General features: G+C 38.9%; 1 pseudogene across 2 annotated transcripts, besides 1 other annotated feature; it reads right to left on the bottom strand.

The window, feature by feature from the left end:
* Positions 1-3728: 3728 nt before the first annotated feature.
* ZNF271P (zinc finger protein 271, pseudogene) lies at positions 3729-24223 on the bottom strand (annotated as a pseudogene). 2 transcript variants are annotated; one of them, NR_024565.1, is made up of 3 exons: positions 24104-24223; positions 23263-23485; positions 3729-8519 (listed from the first exon to the last, which is right to left on the bottom strand). The product of NR_024565.1 is annotated as a zinc finger protein 271, pseudogene, transcript variant 1 (transcript). The 2 variants fall into 2 exon arrangements; NR_024566.1 differs by lacking the exon at positions 23263-23485.
* Positions 23990-24149: an enhancer, noted in NCBI's record as "active region_13222". NCBI's record gives its function as "activates an Ori minimal core promoter by ATAC-STARR-seq in GM12878 lymphoblastoid cells {active_cell/tissue: GM12878}" and the evidence as "EXISTENCE:reporter gene assay evidence [ECO:0000049][PMID:35858748]".

Genomic DNA, 24257 nt, shown 5'->3' with positions numbered 1-24257 from the left:
TGGGTAGACTGAACATAGGGTATCTTCCCAATTATATGTGCCTTCTTTCGCATTTTCCAGCAATGTTTTGTAGTTTTCAGGGAACAAGTCATTCACTTACTTGGTTAAGTTTATTGCTAAGTATTTTAGTCTTTTTGATGGTATTGTAAATGAAATTGTTTTCTTCATTTCCTTTTTAGATTGTAGATTGTCAGTATATAGAAATGTAACTGATTTTTGGGTGTTGATTTTGTATCCTGCAACTTGGCTGAATTCACTTATTAGTTCGTGTGTGTGTGTGTGTGTGTGTGTGTGTGTGTGTGTGATCTTAAGGGTTTTTTGCATATAAGATTATGTCATCTGCAAATAGAGATAATTTTACTTCCTCCTTTCCAATTTGGATGTCTTTTATTTTTTATTTGCCAAACTGATCTGCCTAGGACTTCCAGTATTATGTTGAAGTGGTGAAAGCAGGCATATTGTTTCTCTTAGAGAAAAAGCTTTCAGTCTTTTACCATTATGATGCTCACTGTAGTTTTTTTTTTTTTAAATATGGCCTTTATTATACTGAGGTAGTTTCCTTATACTCCTTGTTTGTTGAGTGTATCATAAAAGCATTGAATTTTGTCAGCTTTTTTGCATCAGTCGAGTTAATCACACTTTTTTCCTTCATTCTGTTACTGTGATGTAGTACATTGATTGATTTTTGTATGTTGAATCATTCTGAATTTCAAAAATAAATCTTACCTGGACATGGTGTATAATTATTTTAAAGCATTGTTGGATTGTGTTTTCTAGAATTTTGTTGAGGATTATTTATAGGGGACATTGGTCTGTAGCTTTCTTGTAGTGTCTTTGTCTGGCGTGGTGTCAGATTAATGCTGGCTTCATAAAATGAATTTGGAATTGTTCCTTCCTTTGTAATATTTTGTAGGAATTTAATAAAAGTTGGTGTTACTTCTTTTTTTGAGACAGTCTCACTCTGTCGCCCAGGCTGGAGTGCAGTGGCGCGATCTCGGCTCACTGTAAGCTCCGCCTCCCAGGTTCACGCCATTCTCCTGCCTCAGCCTCCTGAGTAGCTGGGACTACAGGCGCATGTTGCCACGCCTGGCTAATTTTTTTTTTTTTTTTTTTTTTTTTGTATTTTTAGTAGAGGCGGGGTTTCACCGTGTTAGCCAGGATGGTCTTGATCTCCTGACCTTGTGATCCGCCCGCCTCGGCCTCCCAAAGTGCTGGGATTATAGGCGTGAGCCACCACGCCCAGCCAGTGTTACTTCTTTGATAGAATTCACCAGTGAAGCCACCTGGTCCTGGGCTATTTTTTTGGTAGGTATTTGATTACTGATTTAATCTTACTAGCCATAGTTCTATTCAGATTTTCTACTTTTTCACAATTCATTGGTAGGCTGTGTGTTTCTAGGATCTTGTCTATTTCATCTAGGTTATCCAATTTGTGGTGTACAATTATTCCTAGCAGTTTCTTCTAATCCTTTTTATTTCTGAAATTACAGCAGTAACATGCCCTCTTTTATTTCTAATTTTAGTTAATTTGGGGATTATAGGTTTTTAAAAAGAATACTACAATTTGAAGTGACTTTCTTGTAACATCATACCAAGTGGTACATAATATTCACATAACATCACTCACTGGTGATGTTACCCTTTAGGTGGTGCATCTTAGGCAGGTGAGAAGCCCGTCAGGTGACATTTGGCAGTGGCTGGAGACATTTTTGGCTGACTGTCGTAACTGGGGGAGGGTTGCCACTGGTATCTGGTGGATAGAGGCCAAGGATAGTATCAAATGTCCAATAAGTCCACAGGACGGCTCCCCACAGCAAAAAATTATGTGCCCCAAAATGTCAATAGTGCTAAGGTTGACAAGCCCTGCCTTATGATAGTTTTTGTCAGATTTCTCCACTGTAGTTAGTTTTTCCTTTTCCATACTCTATTCTTTGGAAGTAGGTCAACAGTTCCAGCTTCCTCTGGAGGAGGAATCTAAATATATAATTTGGAATTTTTCCATAAGGAAGAGTTGTCTCTTCTCCCATACCTATGTTATCAGTATGGATGCATGTATGCTTATTTGGCCTTGGGAACTCCTTCAGTTTGTCTCCTATGTTCCTTTGACATGCCCCTATCCTTTTGTTTTTTGAACTCTTACCTACTTTCTGTACTACAAGATGCTCTAGGCTCATCTTGAGTTTTCCCTGCCCTAGCCCTACAACCAGTCATTTCTCAAAGGAGCCCTGGTTCCTTTTATTTGGAGAATGCTATTTAGAAACCAAGATCTAGTTATGCTCATTGATGCTTGGGTGTCATTTCTTCTAGATCCTCTCAAAGAGCTAGGTAGTGTATGTATGCATAACATATGTATAGAGGTATGTTCTATAATTGTTTCTGCGTAATCCACCTGTGTGTGCATAAAATGTATGAATTCATATTGATGTTTCTGATTCTAATGGTTTTGGTAATTTTTGATTGAACATACTGTGCATGAAAAATTGTAGAATCTGGATAGCCATCCTCCAGAGAGGATTCACCCTTTCCTCTTTTCTAGCTGGCAGCCAGATTAGGGCAAGATAACTTAGTTCACTAAAAGGTTGACCTTACTTGACATTGCATTCAGTCTTTTTAAGACTTGGTCAGGTTTTATCCTCTCTTGGGGTGTAGCCATATAATGTTTACATTGAGAATGTGGGGTGTTCACAAGGACACCACCTACTTGGCGCAATTTATACTCTAATTTTTATTCCCTAGCATGAGTCAGCTGAGTTTCATTTAACCTTCCAGCATTCTTTGAATAGATTTCTTGGCCCTTTGCCCTGTCAGTTCAAGAATCAGCAAATGCCTGGAAGAATCAACCGACATAAAGTGTCAGGCCCAATTCTCTGTATTTCCCTTCCACTCTATATTCTTGACAGTTGTTTGAATTTTGCAATTTTGCAACTCACTTCTAAGACCTAGTAAGCAACCAGATTTGGAAAACTGGAGGTCAGGAGTGTAGGTTGATTACCAGTTATTTTATGTGGATGACAAGGTGTTTAGTAGTGTAATTCATAAAGATAGGGAATTCTGGAGGAAGAAATCATGTATGTGTGTGTGTGTGTGTGTGTGTGTGTTAAGTTCATGAATTTCAGTTTACCCGTAGGACACTAAATAGAGAAATGTGTAGTAGGCTCTCAAAATGTATTCTCAGGAGAGATAGCTAAACTTCAGAAATAAATTTGGAGACCACCCTGTTTTTTCTTCTTTGCTTTTTAAATTCTCCAAAGAACAGATAATAAATTTTACCTTTCTCTTACCCACTTCTCAACCTATCAGCATGTCAATGCCTTTTAGCTCCTCTACTTCTGGACCTCATGATTTTATTTCCAGACTTTAAAAATGGGTTTCCTTTCTGTTGTTTCTCTCCCCCTTTTAATCTGAAACTCTTTTTAAAGCAGGAAGATCATTCAAGGACCTTAATGGCTTTTCATTACTTTGAGAATAAAATGCAGAAACATAAAATCTAGTCTAACCACCCCAAGTACTTTTGTTTAGAGATAATTAGCTACAGCCCAGAAAATTAAAGTGTCTGCTTGTTTAGCATCACACTCCTTTTCTTTCCCACTTGATTTTCATTTCCACATTATTCTTACCCTTTGAAATGTATGTTTCAATAAGCATTTTCATAATGCATCGTAACTGTTTGTGTGCTTCTTGAGGGCAGGGGCCCTTCCCTCACCCCTCTTCAACAGGAACCAGTACAATGCCTGACACTGAATATTTATTGAATAAATGATAACCACCATGCTCCACATTTCTTGCACTTCCTTTTGTGCCTTTGTTGATTATTCCCTCCCTGCCTTTATGCCTCTATTCCCATCCTTCAAGGCTCAAACTTCAGGAGTTCCACAAAGCTCTCCCTTTTCTTTCTAATCAGAATTGAACCTTGACTCCTCTGAGTTCTTACAAGCATGTCCTACCTTTATGATTACATTGAGCCATGTGTTTTCTGTACATATTAGTCTCTATCACTATACAATATACACTTCATTGGAAGAGATAGTATATTCTTTTAATGTACTACAAAACCTCCCAAAAGGCCTTGCCTTAGCATTACACTCCTAAGGAATAGAATTTAACAATGTCTGCTAAATTAAAATATTAATTAGACAATTATAGGGGATAATCAAAGGAAACAACTTTGTAGTACTTTTAGTAGCAGAACTTATCAAATTGTTAATACCAGAAAGACAATTTGAATTTTTTATTTTTTCAAACTATTTCTATTTTTCAGTGGAAAACTTTGCATGTATGTTGCCTGTTTTCAGTATGTATGTCAGAAATCAAAAAAGTCTGATAAATGTTGCCACTTGAAAAAAATATCAGAAAGTCTTATTTTTACACAGAATATACTATACAAATTAATGATGTAGGTACTTTAGCTACTGTATAGGAAAAACTTATTGTCTTCTCTATACTCACAACATTTCTGACACCAGATGTGTATGAGGTTTCCCCAAACCAAACAATTCTCCAATTTTCTGTGGACACCCACTAAGTGCCTGTAATTAAATTTTGAAGCTATCTACCTGGAATCAGATCAACATAGATGCTTCAGGTTAAGGGCTCAGTTCTACAACTGACACCAATTGTGTCAGTTTTGGACACCAATCTCATGTCCATGTTTTCACTGGTGCTTCTGACCAACTGGCTATAAATCCAAGGTTCCTACAATCCCCTCTTTGAGTTTCAGCATTAGCTAGAATGACTCATAGAATGTAGGAAAAGTTTATTTACTAGATTCTTGTAAAAGAACACAACTAAGGATCAGCCAGATGAAAGAGATGCATAAGGCAAGGTGTGTGGGAAGAACACTGAGCTTCCATGCCCTCCCTAGGTACACCACCCTCCTAGTACCTCAACAAGTTCAACCTGGAAGCTCTCTGAATCCTGTCCTTCAGTTTTTTATGAAGGCTACATCACGTAGGCATGAATGATTAAATCACTGGCCACTGGTGACTGAATTCAGTCTCCAGCCTCTCTCCTCTCAGAGGTCAAGGTAGGGTGGGGTTGATCTGAAAGTTCCAACCCTCTAATCACATGGTTGGTTCTCGAGGCAACTAGCCCCCATCCTGTGGTTCTGTCTTTCCAAAAGTAATCCCATTAACATAAACTCAGGTGTGGTTAAAGGGGCTTGTCATCCTAATTACTCTTACCACTCAGGAAATTTCAAGGGTCTTAGAAGCTCTGTACCAGGGGATGAAGACCAAATATGTATTTATTATAAATCACAATTTCACAGCTACCACTTTTTGTTCAATCTATAGATGACAAGATAAATGCTGCTAGAAACATCTCTACACTTTGACATATGGAAAATTTTTTTAAAGATCCTGTTTCACATGTTTAGAAGCTGTGATTAAATGGTAGTGAAGAACTTTCAAACCAATAAAGTTTATGGGCTGCATTATTCAAAGCAAAATAAATCTATATTTGCTGTGAACATTGCAAGAACTTGCACAAACTAATGTGCACTAGGAAAACCAAAACTATACCCCCCAAAATTAAAAACAAAAAAAAATTCTGAGAAAAGGGGGCACTGGAATTATGTACTTAGTAAGTTTAATATCAGAAGAGTATAGCATGTTTACACACGTGGAATTTAAAAATAGATATCTAGCATTAGCATAAAGTAAGACTCTAGCTGTCAGGGTTAAGTGTCATATTATTATAAATGCCAATTAGGATATGGAGGGGATTTAAGTTTTCCTTACATTATCAAAAAAATTTGATATGCAATTGGTAATTTAGGCTTTCTTAAGGTTTGAAATTATAACGATAATACATTTCCTTCTGACTTTTGACTGAATACCTCCCACACTGATTTTTACAATATCTGATAAGTTCTGCATTAGATCTCTTACAATAATACAACTCTCTTCCTGTAGGTTATGTCTGAATAAGACTAGAGCTTTTCCAACCTTATAGAAAAGATAGAAATTTGTTTCTATTGTGGTATACTGACATTCAGTAAAAATGTTTTTCACTTTGAAGGTTTTCCCACAACTCGCAGGACTCTTCCTCAGAGTTTTTTTTTCTTTTTTTTTTTTTTTTGAGAGAGTCTCACTCTGTTGCCCAGGCTGGAATGCAGTGGCAGATCTCGGCTCCCTGCAACCCCCACCTCCCAGGTTCAAGTGATTCTCATGCCTCAGCCTCCCGAATAGCTGGGACTACAGGCGCCTGCCACCATGCCCAGCTAATTATTTTTTATTTTTTGGTAGAGACAGGGTTTCACCATGTTGGTCAGGCTGGAGAATTTTTCTTAATTTTAGTAATGTCTGAGCTCTGAGTTAACCTTTCATTACAAAAACTGAATTAATGTTTTCTCCCATGTGGTATTGGTGGTTTTTTTTTTTTTTTAAATAGACAGGGTCTTGCTCTGTTGCCCAGACTGGAGTGCAATGGTGGAATCATAGCTCACTGCAGCCTCAAACTCCTGGGCTCAAATGATGCTTCCACATCTGCCTCCCAAAGTGTTGGGATTACAGGCGTGAGCCACCATACGTATCCGGATCCAGTGTGGTTTTAATGTAGCATAAGAGTTGAACACTGATTAAAACCTTTTTCATACTCATCAATAATCAACAGCATTCATTAGATTTTTTTCTGGTACAGTGTCTCTGGTACTGAATAGAGTTGGTGTACACACTAAAGGTTTTCTCACATTCATCACATTTTGACTGTCTTCTCCACAATGGACTTCCTCATGAATAGTAAGTTCAGAGAGTTGGCTACAACTTCTGCTGCACTGAACACACTGGTAGGGTTTCTCCTCAGCATGGGTTTTCTGGTGTTCAATAAGATCAGTACATGTGCTGAAGGCTTTCCCACATGCATCACACTTATACGGCTTTTCACCAGTGTGTATTTTTTGATGGTTAATGAGATCAGAACGCCGACTAAAGCTTTTGCCACACTCATCACATGGATTTGGTTTCTTCCCAGTGTGGATTCTCTGGTGTAGGGTAAGAGCTGAGCACTGACTGAAAGCCTTCCTGCACTCACTGCATTTATATGGTTTTTCCCCAGTGTGGATTCTCTGGTGTTTAATGAGGTCTGAGATCTGACTGAAACTTTTGCTGCACTGTGTGCACAGATAATAGTTTTTCTCCAGTGTGAATTCTCTGATGAAGAATAAGGTCAGAACTCTGACTGAAGGCTTTCTCACAACTATTGCAATGATAAGGCTTTTCACCAGAGTGTACTCTCTGATGTTTAGTGAGGTCTGAGCTTTGACTAAAACTTTTATCACACTGATTACATGCATATGGTTTCTCTCCAGTGTGTATTCTTTGATGCTTAACAAGATCTGAACGGCGACTAAAGCTTTTAGTACAATCACTACATGCATAAGGTTTCTCTCCAGTGTGGATTCTCTGATGAAGAATAAGGTTGGAGCTCTGACTAAAGGTTTTCCCACATTCATCACATTCATAGGGTTTCTCACCTGTATGAATTCTGTGATGTTTAACAAGATCTCATCTTCGACTAAACATTTTATTGCACTGATTACATGGGTAAGGCTTCTCTCCAGTGTGAATTCGTTGATGATTAATAAGATCTGAAAGCCTACTGAAGGTTTTGCTACATTGATCACAGGGATAGGGTTTCTCTCCAGTATGAATCCTCTGATGTAAAATAAGGACTGAGCTCTGATTAAAAGCTTTCCCACACTCATTACATTTATAGGGTTTCTCTCCAGTGTGGATCCTTCGATGTTTAATAAGGTCTGAATTCTGACTGAAACTTTTGCTACACTGATTACATGGATATGGTTTCTCCCCAGTATGGATTCTCTGATGCAGAATAAGATCTGAGCTCTGACTGAAGGCTTTCCCACACACATCACATTTATATGGTTTCTCCCCAGTGTGGATTCTTTGATGTTTTATCACATCAGAACTCTAAAATGTTTGTTACACTGGTTACAAGTATAAGGCTTCTCTCCAGTATGGATTCTCTGATGTTTAACCAGATCTGAGCGCTGGCTAAAACTTTTACTACAATGACGGCATTGATAGGGTTTTTCTCCTATATGGATTCTCTGATGTATAATAAGATCTGAGCTCTGACTGAAGGCTTTCCCACACTCATCACATTTATAAGGTTTTTCACCAGTGTGGACTCTTTGGTGTTTAATAAGGTCTGAGCTCCAACTGAAACTTTTAATACACCAATTACAGGAATAAGGTTTCTCCCCAGTGGCCTTTCCACACTTATCCCATTCATAAGGTTTCTCACAGTGCGTTTTTCGATGCCTAAAAAGGCTTGTACTCCAAACAAAGCTTTGCCCATATTCGTCACAGTTATGAGGTCTCCTTTTAAAGACGTTCTGATCTTTTTCATTTAATTTATCCCCAAATTCACAGAATTCTTTGCCTTCAGAATCCTGGAGAACATTCTGAGACTGCTAGACTCTTCTGTCAATGGTTCAATTTTTGCTGTAATTCCCTCCTCTGAAGCTGGCTTTCCAATCTTGGTCTTGTTCTCACCATCTGGAACAATAAACAAAATCCAAATGGAATGTGTTCTGTATATTGTAAGAAAGTTTCAGGTGACACAGATTAGTATTTACCTATAAAATGTGATCATAGTGTGAGTGTTCCAAAAAATGAACATTACCCTCTGAGGAAACCTAGAAAGATTCAATAAGTAATGGATCACATTGATCATTTATAGAAGTGATGTACCAGATATGCTCTGTATGTTTGTCACAGGAGATCTAGGAATACTGAAACCTAATTAGTGATTAGTAAATTGTGACTAAATTAGAACTAATACATAAGCATTTTATTAACATATATAAGGCAAGCAGTGTGAATCTCAAAAAAGATAAAGAAGTTGGTTCGGCTTTATCTAGTACTACCCAGCAATTTGGGCTAAATGTATGGTATTAACAAAAAAGAGAAAAAGAAAAACAAGGAAAAGAAAATGCTTCAATTACTTTGTTTGCATCTTCTCTATCAATTTTTAGAAATGGTACAAGACTGATTGTTAACACACCAGTGGAGCGTTTACTATGCTCTCAATACCTTATATAATAAAGCCATAAATAAGAATGATCCCAGTCCTTAAGTACAGCAATCACTTCAGTATTGAGTTTTCATACAACTATTTGAATTTATTATGTGAAAACATCAATAGGCTTCCAAACGGGATAATGCTGCATACCTTCCATCTTACTATGAAAATTATGGTTTTTATTTTCACTCAAATGGAGGGCCATCCTAGTTCTGCCCATAGGAATGTCTTTAGGAAGAATATCCACGAAAATAACAATAATTACACCTGAAGAAAACTGGGAGTCACACGGTGAGGAGTATGAGGAATTCTGAGAAACTTTTTATTGCATACACTTTGATAATGCTTGACTCTTTCATCACTTGCATGCATTAGCTATTTTTAAAAATGAATATACCTGAGAACCACAAATATCTGAGATGGGTCTCAGTAAATTTAGAAATTTTATTTTGCCAAGGTTAAGGACATGCCCGTGACACAGCCTCAGGAGGTCCTGATGACATGTGCCCAAGGTGGTCAGGGCACAGTTTGGTTTTATACATTTTAGGGGCACATGAGACATCAATCAATATATGTAAGATGTACACTGGTTTGATCTGAAAGGTGGGATAACCAAAGCAGGGAAGGGGGGGCTTCCAGATCATAGGTAGATAAGAGATAAAGGGCTGTATTCTTTTGAGATTCTGATTAGCCTTTCCAAAGGAAGCAATCAGATATGCATTTCTCTCAATGAGCAGAGGTATGACTTTAAATAGAATGGGAGGCAGGTTTGTCCTAAGGAGTTCCCAGCTTGACTTTTCCTTGAAGCTTAGTGACTTTGGGGTCTGGAGATTTATTTTCCTTTCACATACCAAAGTAAGTAAAACTGTTGAATTACGGGAAAAAAAGAGATCTATATTTGTATATGTCAATTTGTAGCAGTAAACACAGACCACAAAGTGATAATATAAATCACTCTGAAAATTGGTTACAAGAAAATGTATTGTGTTATGGTCTATATGAGCCACTTTGCAAGCAGTGCACTCAACTGAGTGATCATTATCTTTATGATTTAGGACATGCTATCCAACAAAAAGAATCCAGATAGCTGGATCAGAATTAAATTTGAACCCCATAAGCTCCATTTTGGCTAGGCTGTAACTGGGAAGGTATACCTACCACAAACCAGGCTGGCCAGCAACTGCCATTAGGGGAAAGAAAGAAACATCATGCCCAGGAATGGTCAGAACAGAATCCTAAATTTTCAAAATCAGGTCTATAAAAAATTTCTACCTCTTTTGTTCTGGTTATTTCTAAGGAAGTGACCAAGAAGACATAATCCCTTTCTGGCAACAGCCATATTCAGTGAACAAACTTCCTTACTAAGGAGTGTGAACCAGAAAAAGGCTAGGAAGGTAGAGTTAGATATCTTTTTTGAGTTGACTTTTGAGGAGCCATTCCTATACTCAACAATACCAGATACCTATGATGGTAGGGCACATGAAAGCCTCACTGAATTTTTTTTTTCTTTCTTTGAGATGCAGTCTCATTAGGTTGCCCAGGTTGATCTTAAACTCCTGAGCTCAAACAATCCTACCTTAGCCCTCTAAGTAGCTAGTATTACAGGCCTATGCCACAGCACCGGTTCCCACTGAATTTCTTGGCTATCAGCCCATTGTTGAGTGGTGTTTATTACAAAAGGCATATCACTGTCAGACTACAAATAGTCTGGAGAGCTGAAAACACATTCAATTCGGGCGAAAGTCTAAAACCTAAAGGGGTACTTCCAAGTGGAGGCTTCTTCCCTCTTGCCAACGGCTCCAATTAGCAGAATCATTAGTTATAAATAAAGACTAGCTCAAAGGAGTCATTAGGTTTGTGAGGGGTCCCAAAGGACTTCTGGCACTTCCCTATATTCAGTTCTTTCCAATAGGGAGGATCCCCTCTGGCACTTAAGTGATACTGAAATACAAGAACTAATACCTACTAAACATTCAGATGTAGAAGCAGTAACAACAGTACACTTTATCTAATTCTTCATATCAAGTTGGTCATTTTCATCAGCACTGTAATTTCAGTGTGGAGCTGTAAGAGCCTGGATACGAGTTAATATCTTGTCCATGGTATCTCGCAGGAGTTTTGTCTGTCTGAGGGAAAGCCCCCTCTCTCGTAGGGTGCCAAAGTTCCTCTATCACATCTTAGATCCACTGTAAAAGAACTCTGAAATTACTTTTAGTGTCATCTCCAAAGGGATCTAAGGTTGGCATGACAGACTATAGGAGGGACTAAGTAGTAAGATGGCTCAGCTATTTCCATTCTTCCTTAATCTTTAAGCAACCAACCCAAGCAAACCAGCCAAAGTTCTAGCAATTCACCTGCTTTCTGTCCATAGTGTTCATCAATTTTCCTCCTTTTATGCTCAGTGTAGCTACATATCTTTGTAACTGTCTGAAAGTGGGTGGAAACTTTTGTCCACCCAATATGAAGCTTAACTGCTATTTGTTACAATGGCACACACCTGAGGCTGACCACTAAATTGAAGTTCCCCCGGAGGACAGTTAGCAACAATCAGCGTACTGTTTAGATAGCTGTCTTTGAACATGCTTCCTGGATTTGGCTTGCAACCACCTCCTGAATTCCTACTTATTAACAGGCAATAAAATGAAGAAACATTTATTGCTCTGTTGACCATACAATTTGGTCAACATGTTCACTACCAATTCTCATGGACTTCCCTCAAAATCTGTTAAAGAGCCCGTGAGGCCCTTATACTTCCTCTTCCAGAAAGTTATGTCTCTGTCAGCATCCCATCGTTATTACCAACACTATCAAAAACTGAAAAATCTGGGATTTTACCCTAAGTGCAAGCTAACAAGTCAATCTACCCAGTTTCACAGCCCCTGGCAGAAGACATGAGAATCCTAGATAAGAAACAAATGACAGTTTATTACACACAGCAACAGCATTAGACAGAATAGCAGTATTTGCCTTCCTGAACCCTAATTCCCACAAGGTGACAAAAGTAAGTTGTGTTGCAGGACAGGAACCCTGAGGCAGGGACATAAGGACATCTGTCCTCTGCTTTAGAGGGGGACACTATCACTATATTCAAAGGTTGCCTGCTATACAACTTTTTTTTTTTTTTTTTTTTTGAGATAGATCCTGCTCTGTTGCCCAGGCTGGATTGCAGTGGTGCGATCTCGGCTCACTGCAACCTCCGCCTCCTGGGTTCAAGCAATCCTCCCACCTCAGCCCCCGAGTAGCTGGGTCTACAGGTGCCCGCCACCACGCCTGGCTAATTTTGTTTTTGTATTTTTAGTAGGATGGCGTTTCACCGTGTTAGCCAGGATAGTCTCGATCTCCTGACCTCGTGATCTGCCTGCCTCAGCCCCCCAAAGTGCTGGGATTACAGGTGTGAGCAACTGTGCTCAGCCACAACATTCTTAAAAAACAGTCCAGAACAAATGCAGGCAATTCCTTTGCTTAAAAGATGTGCAGACCCACAAGAGCCCATGGAGAATTCTCTCTCAACCCTAACTTTAATAGAAATGATGAAAACCAGAAGATAATGGAATGTCATCTGCCAAGTGCTTAAGGAAAAGAAGTGCCAACATAGACTTGCATAAGAAGATAAAATGCCTGAAAGAAAAGTTAAAATAAAGATATTTTCAGTTAAATAAAAACCAAGAAAGGTTTTTAAAAATATACCTGCACTAAAATAAATACTAAACAGAATTCTTCAAGAATAAAAAATATCCCAGATGCAAGCAAGGTAATGCAGGAATGAAGAGCACTGGAAAAGTAAAGTGTCCGGGTAAATCTAAATGTGTACTTACTGATTAAAGCAATATGAATGTTTTGTGGAGTTTATAAAATACATAGAATTAAAATATATGGCAAAAATAGCACAAGAGGAGGGGATAGGAAGAACTACAGTATTATAGGGTCTCAGCATTGTCTTAGAAGTAGTAAATTAAACTGTAATAAATCCAGTGTACACGTTCTAATTTCTAAGGCAGCCTTTTTCAACCAGAGTTCCAAAAGAGAATGAAACAGAAAATGAACTGAGTGACTATTTTCTTAATTCTCCAATGATGGTACACAGTTAATACCATAGTAGATGTATAAGAGAGCCTGATAGCATTGGGGTTTAATTCTTTCACAGAATCACATGTGAGAAAGCCTAGGATGAGGTAACCGTTAAAATAATAGAAGACTATGTAAATAATAAGCTAACAGAAGAAAAAGTGCAAAAACCTGATAATCTAAAATTGGACAAAAAGGAAAAAAAGAAATAAATGGAATAAAAAAGAAAACAAAATAAGAAGCTGGTACATTTAAATCTAAGCATATCAATTATATTCTACGCAAATTGACTACTCCAATAAAAAGCAAAGAAAAACCTACAGCTAACATAGTTAATGGTTAAATACTGAATGCCTTTCTCCTAGGAACAAGGGGGTAAGGCAAAGATGCCTACTCTTATCACTTCTCTTCAATATTGTACCACTTCTACTCAACATTCCTAGCCAAAAAGATAAGACATGAAAAATAACTGACACATACAAATAGGAAAGAAAACAGTCATACTGTCTTTAGAGACCACACAACCACATATACCGAAAAATCCCTATCTCAAAAAAGCTATTGGAACTTTTAAATCAGTTTACTAGAATAGAATACAAAACCCAACTGTATTTATATATTCAAGCAATTAACAATCACAGTCTAAAATGTTTTTTTCAATTGTACCCCAAAATGAAATACTTAGAAATTCAACAAAATATGTGCAACATTTGCATAATGAAAACAAAACTGCTCAGAAAAACTAAAAAGGAACAGAAATATACAATTACTTATAAATAAGAACATTTAATATTGTTAAGATGGTAATTCTCGCCAAACTGATCTACAGATTCAAAGCAACGCCAATCAAAATCCCAGCAGGTCTTTTTTAGGACGAACTGACAAACTCGAGGAAAACAGCCTGTTGATGATAAGAGTAATGCCATCTTGAAATGAAACCACCATAATTACCTGTGTTTGACTCCTGTATGCCAAGGTATTCCTGTAGCATAGATATAGCCCCTCACAAAGAAATGTTGCCTGTAGCAGGGATAACCCCTCATAAAGATGCTTATCTAACTTCCCCAGTGGTCGGAGTTTTTAAGAGGGTCTGAGACATGACAAGCTGCAAATGTTTACCAAAAAAAAAAAAAAAAAAAAAAAAAGCTTGCTACATAAAGAATGCTTTCTTGAGGACAAGGGTGGGGATCCAAAATCTTGCGGCCACCTCAGACGTGACTTCTCCTCATCTCTAGTAAGTGATTCTTTCTAGGAAACTGGATTTGTTAGCCTCTTTATATGGCCGATCAGCTCCCTTGGCTTTTGGGGGCAGGTATGCATCTACCTGCCCACTGGGGAACACAAATTAGTTTTAAACTCTATGTAGAAAGGCACAGAAGAGGCTAAACACTTTTGAGAAAGAACAAAACTGGAGTAGTTACACTACCAGATTTCAAGCTTTACTCTAAAGCCACGGTAATCAAGGCAGGGTGGCATTGGCATAAGTGCAGACATACCTATTAGTGGAACAGAACAGATTTCAGAAATAGATCCAAAAACGTATGTACCACTGATCTTCAACAAACGTGGCAAGGTAATTCAGTATTGAAAGGACAAACTCTTTTCAACAAAAAGTGTTGAAACTAAGCCAGGCACGGTGGCCCATGCCTGTAATCCCAGCTCTTTGGGAGGCTGAGGCAGGTAGGTCGCTTGAGTACAACAGTTCAAGACCAGCCTGGGCAACATGGTGAAACCCTGTCTTTATAAAAAATATAAAAGTTAGCCAGGTGTGGTGGCGCACACCTGTAGTCCCAGCTACTTGGGAAGCTGAGGTGGGAGAATCGCTTGAGCCTGGGAGGTTGAGGCTGCAGTGAGCTGTGATCGCACCACGGCACTCCAGCCTGGGCAACAGAGCAAGACCCTGTCTCCAAAAACAAATGAACACACAAATAAAACAGAAGTGTCAGAAGTAGATATCATAATGACAAAAATGAATCCCAACTTTTTCCTCACACTATACACAAAAATTAACTGCAAATGTAACATAAATCCAAGCATTGAAGCTAAAAGTATGTAACTTCTAGAAGAAAGCACAGATGACCATCTTTATGATTTGGGGGCAGGCAAAGATATTAGATAGGACACCAAAAGCATGAATCATAAAATAAAAAATGTAAGTTATACTTCATCAAAATTATAAACCTCTGTTCTTCAAAAGACATTACTGAGAAAAAAATTCAAGCTACAGATTGGGAGAAAATATTCATAAAGCATATATTTGACGATTATATATCTACAATATACAAGGAACTTTTACACCTTAAAAATAATACAACTCGAACAAAAGATTAGAATACACAGTTCGCAAAATAAGTTATATGAATAGTTAGTAAGCATATGACAAAATGCTCAGTATCACTAGTTATCAGGGAAATAAAATTCAACCTCAAGGAGCTACTGGTACCCATTACTGACAATACAACTAACATAGTTAATGGCTAAATACTGACTAGTCTGTGGACCAACTGGCACTCTCAAACACTGCTGATGAAAATACAAAATGGTATACCTACTTTAGAAAATTCTAGCAGCTTTTCATAAAGTTAAACATTTTCTTACCATACAACCCAGCAATTCTACTTCTAGATATTAATATTTATCCAAGAGAAATGAAAACGTATGTCCACACAAGGACTTGTACACAAATGTTTAGAGCAGCTTTATTAACAGCCAGAAATGAAAGCAATCCAAATGTTCATTATCAAGTGAATCAATAAACAAATTATAATATAGCCATACAATGGAATATTATTTAGCAATAAAAAAGAATTACTGATAAAGCAAAATATGGATGAATCTCAAAAACATTATGCTGAACTAAAGGCAGGCAAGTATGATTCCATTTACATGAAATGTTAGAGAAGCCAAAGCAAATATGTAGTGACAGAGAGCATATTAATGGTTGTCTAGGGATGGGGATGGACTAGAAGGAAATTTGGAAGAAGGGTGTTGATATAAAGATTCTATGTTTTGCTTGTGAGGGTAGTGGACATGGTGTATAAATATGTCAAAACTCATCTAAAGCAAGCTGGGTGTGGTGGTTCACACCTGTAATCCCAGCACTCAGAAAGGCTGAGGTGGGAGGATTGCTTGAGCCCAGGAGTTCGAGACTAGCCCTGGCAACATAGCAATATCTGGTCTCTATAAAATAAAAGAAATTAGTTTGGCATGATGATGTGCAACTGTAATGCCAGCTATTTGGGAGGCTGAGGTGGGAGATCAATTGAGCTGAGCCTGGGAGGCTCAGGCTGCAGTGAGCTATGATTGTGCCACTGCACACCAGCTGGGGTGACAGAGGCAGACTCTATTCTCATCTAAAACCTCATCTAAATGCACAATTAAAAGAGGTATGTTTTATGGTCCATAAACTATGCCTGACTAAAGTAGATTTAACAAAAGTCAGTAAAAATATATTAAAAAGCAACAACACAAAAAACCTTGACCTTATATTCCATCCTTCTATTGCTTCATTTCTGTTTCCCTTTATAGCAATTCTCCTTGAAAAACTTTACTTTCTCATTTTTTATTATTTTATATACAAAAATATGGATACATCTATATGCATATATGTACAATTAAAAAATGAATAATACAACAAACAAAATTGAACCTTCCATTCAACTTAAAAAAAAATTACCAGAAGGTTTCCAACATGCTAGAATTCCCTTCTGCATGCTTCCCTGTTCCTGACTTCCTCCTCCAATCTCTTTCCCCCACCTACTCTTGTAATTACTGTGCTAAATTTTGTGTTTATCCTTCTCTGGCTTTCTTCAGAGCTTTACCAAATATTTGTATTTTTAAGAAAGTATTGTTTGGTTTTGCATGTGTTATAGACTGACTTGTGCTTGTGCACTGCCCCCTCCCTCCCTGTCACCATCCCCAATTCGTATGTTGAACCCCTAACTCCCAATGCGATTGTAGAGAGGGCCCTTAAGAAGGTAATTAAGGTTAAATGAGGTCATAGGGAGGGCTCTAATCCAATAAGACCAGTGTTCTCAGGAGAAGATGAAGAGGAACCAGGAGGCATGCATGCAGAGAAAAGCCACTCTCTGCGTGCAGAGAAAAGTCATATGCAAGCCATGGAGAGAGGCCTCAGGAGAAACCAACTTTGCTGGTCCCTTGATTTGGGACTTTCAGCCTCCAGGACTGTAAGAAAATAAATTTCTGTTGTTTAAGCTACCCAGTAGATGGTATTTTCTTATGGTAGCACTAGCAGACTAAAACAGGATGTTTTTTAACTTTATATATTTATGGAATTCTACTTGTATTCTGTGGCTTGCTTTGTTTGCTCAACATTACACCTGGAGGATCCACCCACGTTGATGTAGTTTACCTGTAGTCCATTCATGTTTGCTACTACAGCGTAACATACACTACAATTTATTTACCTATTCTCCTTCAATAAACAATAACATTTTGCTATTATAAACAATGCTGTTATGAATATGCTTGTATATCTATCTTGGTACACATATACAAATGTTTCTCTAGGTTATATAAACTATAAGTTATATATCAAGTTTATATAACCTTGACTTGTTTGGGTCTCAACTAGGTATTTCCAAAGTAGTTGAACCAATTTAGACTTCCATCAGGATGGTGTATGAGGAGTTCACATTGTTCTATGCTGTAACCAACATTTGGTCTATTCTCTTTTTAGTCCATTGTCATTAGGCTTTTATCTCTGAAACTCCATCAAAACTGGATTTATTAAAGTCCCTAATAGGCTCTATCTTGACAAAGCCAATGGTCACTTCTCAATCTTATTCTGGATTGATTTGAATAGTTGATTACTCTCTTCTTGAAACATTTGATTTCTTCTCCCTAACTTACCTTTCTCATTATCCTGTATAAAGAACCCCAATGGCTTCCTATTATATTGGGAATAAAATTCCAAGTCCTTACTATGGTTTATAAGGTTCCACATTATCTGGTCCCTTTCTTTCTCTCTGCCCTCATTTCATTCCACTACCACCCCTAATACCTGTCTACCCCAGGCTCCCTCTGTTCCTGATACATTTAGGAGCCACTGGCATTTGCTACTCCCTCTTCCTGGAACACTCTCAGATAGTCATATGGCTTGTTTTCTCACTTCATTTATAGCTCTACCCAAATGTTACCATTGCAAGGAGGTGCAAGACTTGGAGCGCCTCTGCATTTTTGAGGTGACAGATACCACAGCTCAATGAGCTGAAATGACCAATTTAATTAACTTGTAAGGTTGCTACTTTTGAGTGAGACTCTTATTACCAGGATAACTAATGGTATTGGAAGTGCCGGTGGCAGTCATGGATGCTGTATAGAGACTCTCACAAGCCTCCATAGAGAACCACCCTGGAGTACGGCCACATCTTCTTCTGTCAGCAACCATTTTCTATATGAAAAGCAGACCCTGGCTTACTATTGGGCACTGATAGAGATTTCACACTTGAACACAGAGCACCAAATGACTACACATTAGACTGCTCATTGTGTATTGGTTGTTATTCCACCAAATCACACACAAAGCAACGTTCCATTGCAAAAGAAAGTCTAGAAGAAAAGTAAATTCCATATGCAAGTGACTAGGATTCCACAGTACCTGGTCCTACTGCTTCACTACCTCTCCCCTTCAATTTATGTTTATGGTCTCATGGGAATTCCCTATTACCAGTTAACAGCCAAGGAAAAATTACAGAACTGGTTTACAAATGGTGGGGAGTGGCACCAGCCAAAAGTAAATAGCTTTCACTTACACCCCTACTCAGAAGTGGCCTCAAACACACTGGTGAAGGCAAATCCTCCCAGTGGGCAGAATTTCACGTATGTACCTAGTTGTCCACTTTTCATGAAAGGTAACATAGCCTAAGATATATGTTTATATTGATTCATGGGTAGTGACTAATTGGTTATTTGATTATGTAGGTACCTGGAAAGAACAAGATTGGAGGACTGGAAGCAAAGATTCTGGGGGAAAAGTATGAGGATGGAATTCCCAGAATGGGCAATGAATGTGAATATATTTGTGTCCCATGTGAATCCTCACCAAAGGGCATCCACTGTGAAGAAGCCTTTCCATCAGACAGACATGATGATCTACTTTATGACTGTCAACCAGTCTCTTTTCCAATGCTTATCCAATAGGCTCATGTACAAAGTAGTCATGGCAGTGGGAATGAAAACTATATATGGGCTCAATAATATGGACCTCCCCTCATTAAGGTTGATATGCCTATCACAACTGCTATGTGGCCAAGCAGCTAACAGCCAAGACCAAAACCAAGCCCCTAAAAGCCAAGACCAAAACCATTTCCTGGAAATGGGGGCAGATTCATTACACTGAACCACTTCTATCAAAAAGAGGGCAGCAATTTGTTTACAAAGTATTAAATACATAGTCCAGATACAAATTTGCATTGACTTAAGGTTGTTTATTACCACGGTATTCGATACTCTGTTGCCTCCAAATAACTCATTTTTCAGGAAAGAAAGTATAGCAATGAATTCACGTACATGTAATTCATAGGTCTTGCCATACGCCCATTAATCCAGAATATGTGGAATGATCTGCTAAAGGCTGAGTTATGTCAACAACACAATACCCTGTAAGTCTGGGGTGCTGTCATATAGATGCAATATATGCCTTAAATCAAAGGACAATAAATATTGTTTTTTTCACCATGGCCAGAATACATACACAGGTACAGGAACCAAGGGTGGAGGAAGAGTGAGAATGGTTCCTCTTATTAGAGACCTAATAATTTGCTTGTATTATTTTTGCTTCCTATCACCATAATTGTTGGCATGGTGAGTTTGAAGTTCTAGTGCTCAAAGGAGAAATTTCCACCATGGAACAAAGTCATCATTTTGTTAATTTCAAAAAAAAAAAAAAAAATGAAACTGTCTCCTGGTCATTCTGGGATCCTCATGCTGCTGAACCAACACAGAAGGGATCACTTTACTGGACAGGATGACTGATCTCAATTACCAAGGGGGAATTGATTGCTGCAACATAGGAAGGGCAAGAAAGAGTATGTCTGGAACTCAAGAGGATTCAATAGGATGCGTCTTAGTCCTCTCATGTCTAGTAGGCCTAATCAATGGTACACTGAAGCAGCCTGAAAGAAGCAGGATTACCGAGGACTCAGATCATCCAGGAAAGCAGCTTTATATTACTTAACTACGTAAAGAAATTTATGCCACTGAGGTGCTGGCAGAGAGTAAGGGAGATATAAAATGGGTAATGGAAGAAGATAATTAGGATTATCAATTTAGGCTTTGTGAATAGCAAAAACAGTGGCTGTCATGTTTTATGTTAATTATGCCTTTCCCCCCTCTCCTTCACCATTTTATATGAAGGGCACTAGTGGTAGTTAAATTCCAGGTTTCCGGTGGGAATATGATTTAATTATGTCAACCTGAAATGAAATGGCAGCTTAAGGGACTTTGTTTTTCTGCTATGTTGGGGTGGATATTGCAGGATAAAAGTGGTGGATTATAATGAATATTGTCCTTTTACCCCTCCAGATCTACTCTCCACCTTGCTCTGTGCCCCACTCTGCTCTGTACCAGGAGACTGATGTTGACAGACTGCACCACCTGGGGTTCCATGCCCTCTGGTATGCAAGTAGATTTGGGCACAAGTGGGAAAATAGTAGAGTGACTAACTGTAATGGTTTGCCTAAAACTGAAGGGGCTATTGCAGATTTCAGTGCTAAATTCCAGGCAAACTGGGATGAACTGGTCACCCTATATCCTGGCTCTCTCCTCGCTGGGCTACTAGCTGAGCCTTTTAGCAAAGGCCAGAGCTCCTATCAGATGGCTAAATCCTACAGCTATACTTTCCAGGGCCTGGTAATCAATCTTTCCCCTGGTCCCTGAAGACCTACAGGTAGTAACTGCTCCCCAGTGTTGTCTGATCCATGGCTGTTCTCCATCCCTTGCTGATTTCTGTAATCATGCCCATCCTCTTCATGAAACTTTGAATTACTGCACTCGAATGAGCCATCTGTTTCCTGCTAGAATCCTCACTGATATATCCCGGTTTAATTTCTCCATAACCATTATCATTATTTGATAATATAATGAGCATTCATTTATTTTCTCCTTCCCTCCACTAGCATGTAAGCACTTTGACAGCAAAGGCTTTGTGTGTTCAGCTCACTGCTATATCCCCAGCACTTAGAACAGTTATTGGCACAGAGCAAACCCTTAATAACTAATATTATATGGCTAGTAATTAATAAGGTATGATCTTATTAGTAAACATTTATCAATAATAAATATTTGGTGAATTAGATGAATGATTTTAAGGATATATTAATGTTAGCAGTGACTATTTCTAGAGGGTGGAGCTGAAGGTTATTTAAATTTTGTTTTGTGTTCTCCTATTCTTTACAAATTGACTTTAGTATAACTGTATTTCTCTATAATAAAATGTTATTTTATACATATTCTAAGAGACATAAACACAAAGACTAAGTATATCAATTTATGCAAAACTGCAAGGAGAAGGTCTAATTCTGCAGTGATTCTCAGGAAAGAGCTGGATGTCTTGGAATAGATTATTAAGGAAGGACAAGTTCTACACATAGGAGAGAAAAACTAAGTAAAATAAAATAAAGATGCTCCAAGACTAAAAAGAAGCAGAAGATCTAGAGTGAGAAAAGGGACAACTGAAGGTGACTCACAGGAAAAACAGCGCAATGAGAGGACAAACCAAAAAGAAGTAACATATGATGTGGAAATGAGACCCTACAGAACACCTGAAAAACGTTGAGATCAAAATTATCTTACTTAAAATAATAGTGGCTACCAATTATAAAGAATTTACTGTAAGCAAAATCTGTGCTCAGAGTTTTACGTTAAGGATCTTGTTTAGTTTTTTTTTTTCTTGGTGTTTTTTTGGAGATCGCATTTTATTCTGTCACCCAAGCTGGAGTGCAGCGGTGCAATCATAAGTCACTGCTGCCTCTGAACTCCTGGGCTCAAGCAATCCTCTCACCTCAGCCTTCTAAATAGCTAGGACTACAGGCACACACACACCACCATGCCTGGCTAATTTTTTAAATTTTTGTAGAAATGGGGTCTCACTTTGTTGCCCAGGCTGGTCCTCAACTCCTGGCTTCAAGCATTCCTCCTGCCTTGGCCTCCCAAAGTGTTGGGATTACAGGTGTGAGCCACTGCACCTGGCCTGTTATAGTATTAGTGTACCCCAGTGAATCCTATCTCCCAGTACCCATATCCCTGTGTAGTTTCCTTCTATAATGACTTTAGAACTGGTCATATGACCTGCTTTCATCAATGAGACATTAACAGATGAAACACATTAACAGATGAAACACAAACATAGGTATGAAAAGAGCTTGCCTTCTCTGACTGGAAACAAGCTGTCCTGTGAAAAAGTCCAGCGTCACCTGCTGAAGACATGAGGACTCAAGCCATAGCCGGCACTAACAGTTTGACATTGAGACAACGTGATTGAAACCATCTTAGACCCTGGCCCCAGTAGAGTCAGCCTTGAGATGACTGCAAAATGACCCCAGAAAAGACCAAGAGAAAAAAAAATGCCCAGGTGAACCCAGCTCAAGTTGATGACCTACAGAATCATAAGAAATAATGTGGTTTAAGAAGTCTGATGTTTTAGGTCACTAAATTTTGGGGTTCTTTATTCTGGAGTAATACATAGATACAAATCTCAAAATAACTTCAAGGTATGAAGTACTATGCACTTGAAAAGTGAGGAAACAGAATCGTAAAATATATGAGTAACTTACTGGAGCCAGTTAAGTGACAAAACTACTGTTTGAATCTAGGTTGTCAGACTCCAGAACTTTTAACTATGCCCCTACAGTAGATAAGAAAAATGACCAAAACTGACAGATTAGCAATGAGGTCATTATACAGGGAAAAATGAATGACTTTGGGGTCTTAAAAAAGTGGAGAGAGCTGCATGAGAATTTGATCGCCAGATTTTGAAATAAAGTCATGTGACTATGCTTGGTACACTAAAGAGGTAATACTGCCTAACAGAGTTAAGGGGGATCATTTGAAGACACTAGCATAGAGTGACACCCCCTCATCCTCCCCACCCCGCCAAAGCCACTAAGAAAGATATAATACCCTGCCTCTCACCTGACAGAAGGTGGTGTTCCTGAGATTCATAATTGAACTGGATCTCCATGGGCTGCAACTGGACACCTCAGTGTGCAAGTGGAGAATTACCATTTCCTCTGTAAGCTTTTCTTGTCCACATAAAGGTCTGGGACCTGGAGGCAACTGGGCACCACTGGGCTTGGAAGGGAATCATTGTGCTGACTACAGATGTAATCTCTGAGACTAGACCACCAGAAAAATCCTCAAGATATAAAAGAAGGAGAAAACAAAAAATCTCATTTGACTTCCAGTTGCTTTTCTCTCAGAATGTATTAGGCTTCCTCCCCATCATCCAAGAGCCAGGGATTAACCCACTTAAGACACACATTCCCCATTCCAAGTCTAGAGATGTTCAAACAAAATTAGGGGTTAATGCTACCAAAAAAAGGTATAACTGGAAAGATAACGCAGAGAGGGGAATTTTACAGTGAATTCTAGTGGTTAACACTATGTTATTCGCTGCCCTTCCTATCCAAAAATGACACTACTGATCATTTTTCTTCCTTTTGCTTTTACAACATTCACAAATTCAGGTGGCTCTTTCCCAGTACGGTAGGCTGATTCGTATGGATGCACCACGGTTGGTGACTCCCCCCACCCCACAGAGTTTCTGGCGTTCATTCGGTTGAACCCAAGGCCAGCAAGGGCTGACTGGGAACAAACCGAACACTAGGCCGTGAACCAATCGTCTCTCCGTGCCCGGGAGCGACCCCGGGGGCCTTCACTCTCCAAGGACTCGAGAAACCATGCACAGTTTCCTGCTCGTTAGGCAAGATCACCCGGAACTCCTCTGCTATCCGCGAGCCGACATCACCCTTACCTCGACTTGGTCACCGGACCGCTGTGAAGCCTCACACCCGGCGAACCTGCCATCGCCCTGTCCGCTCTAGGAATCTGGGAGGAGTGCTCAGCTCTATGGCGCTTCACCGCGCAGGCGCAGGGCGGGGGTGGGGCACCGGGTGACGGAGGGCTGC

This window comes from Homo sapiens, chromosome 18 (assembly GCF_000001405.40).
Source record: "Homo sapiens chromosome 18, GRCh38.p14 Primary Assembly".
Classification (NCBI taxonomy): Eukaryota; Metazoa; Chordata; class Mammalia; order Primates; family Hominidae; genus Homo; species Homo sapiens.
This window is presented reverse-complemented; position numbering and strand designations above follow the sequence as displayed.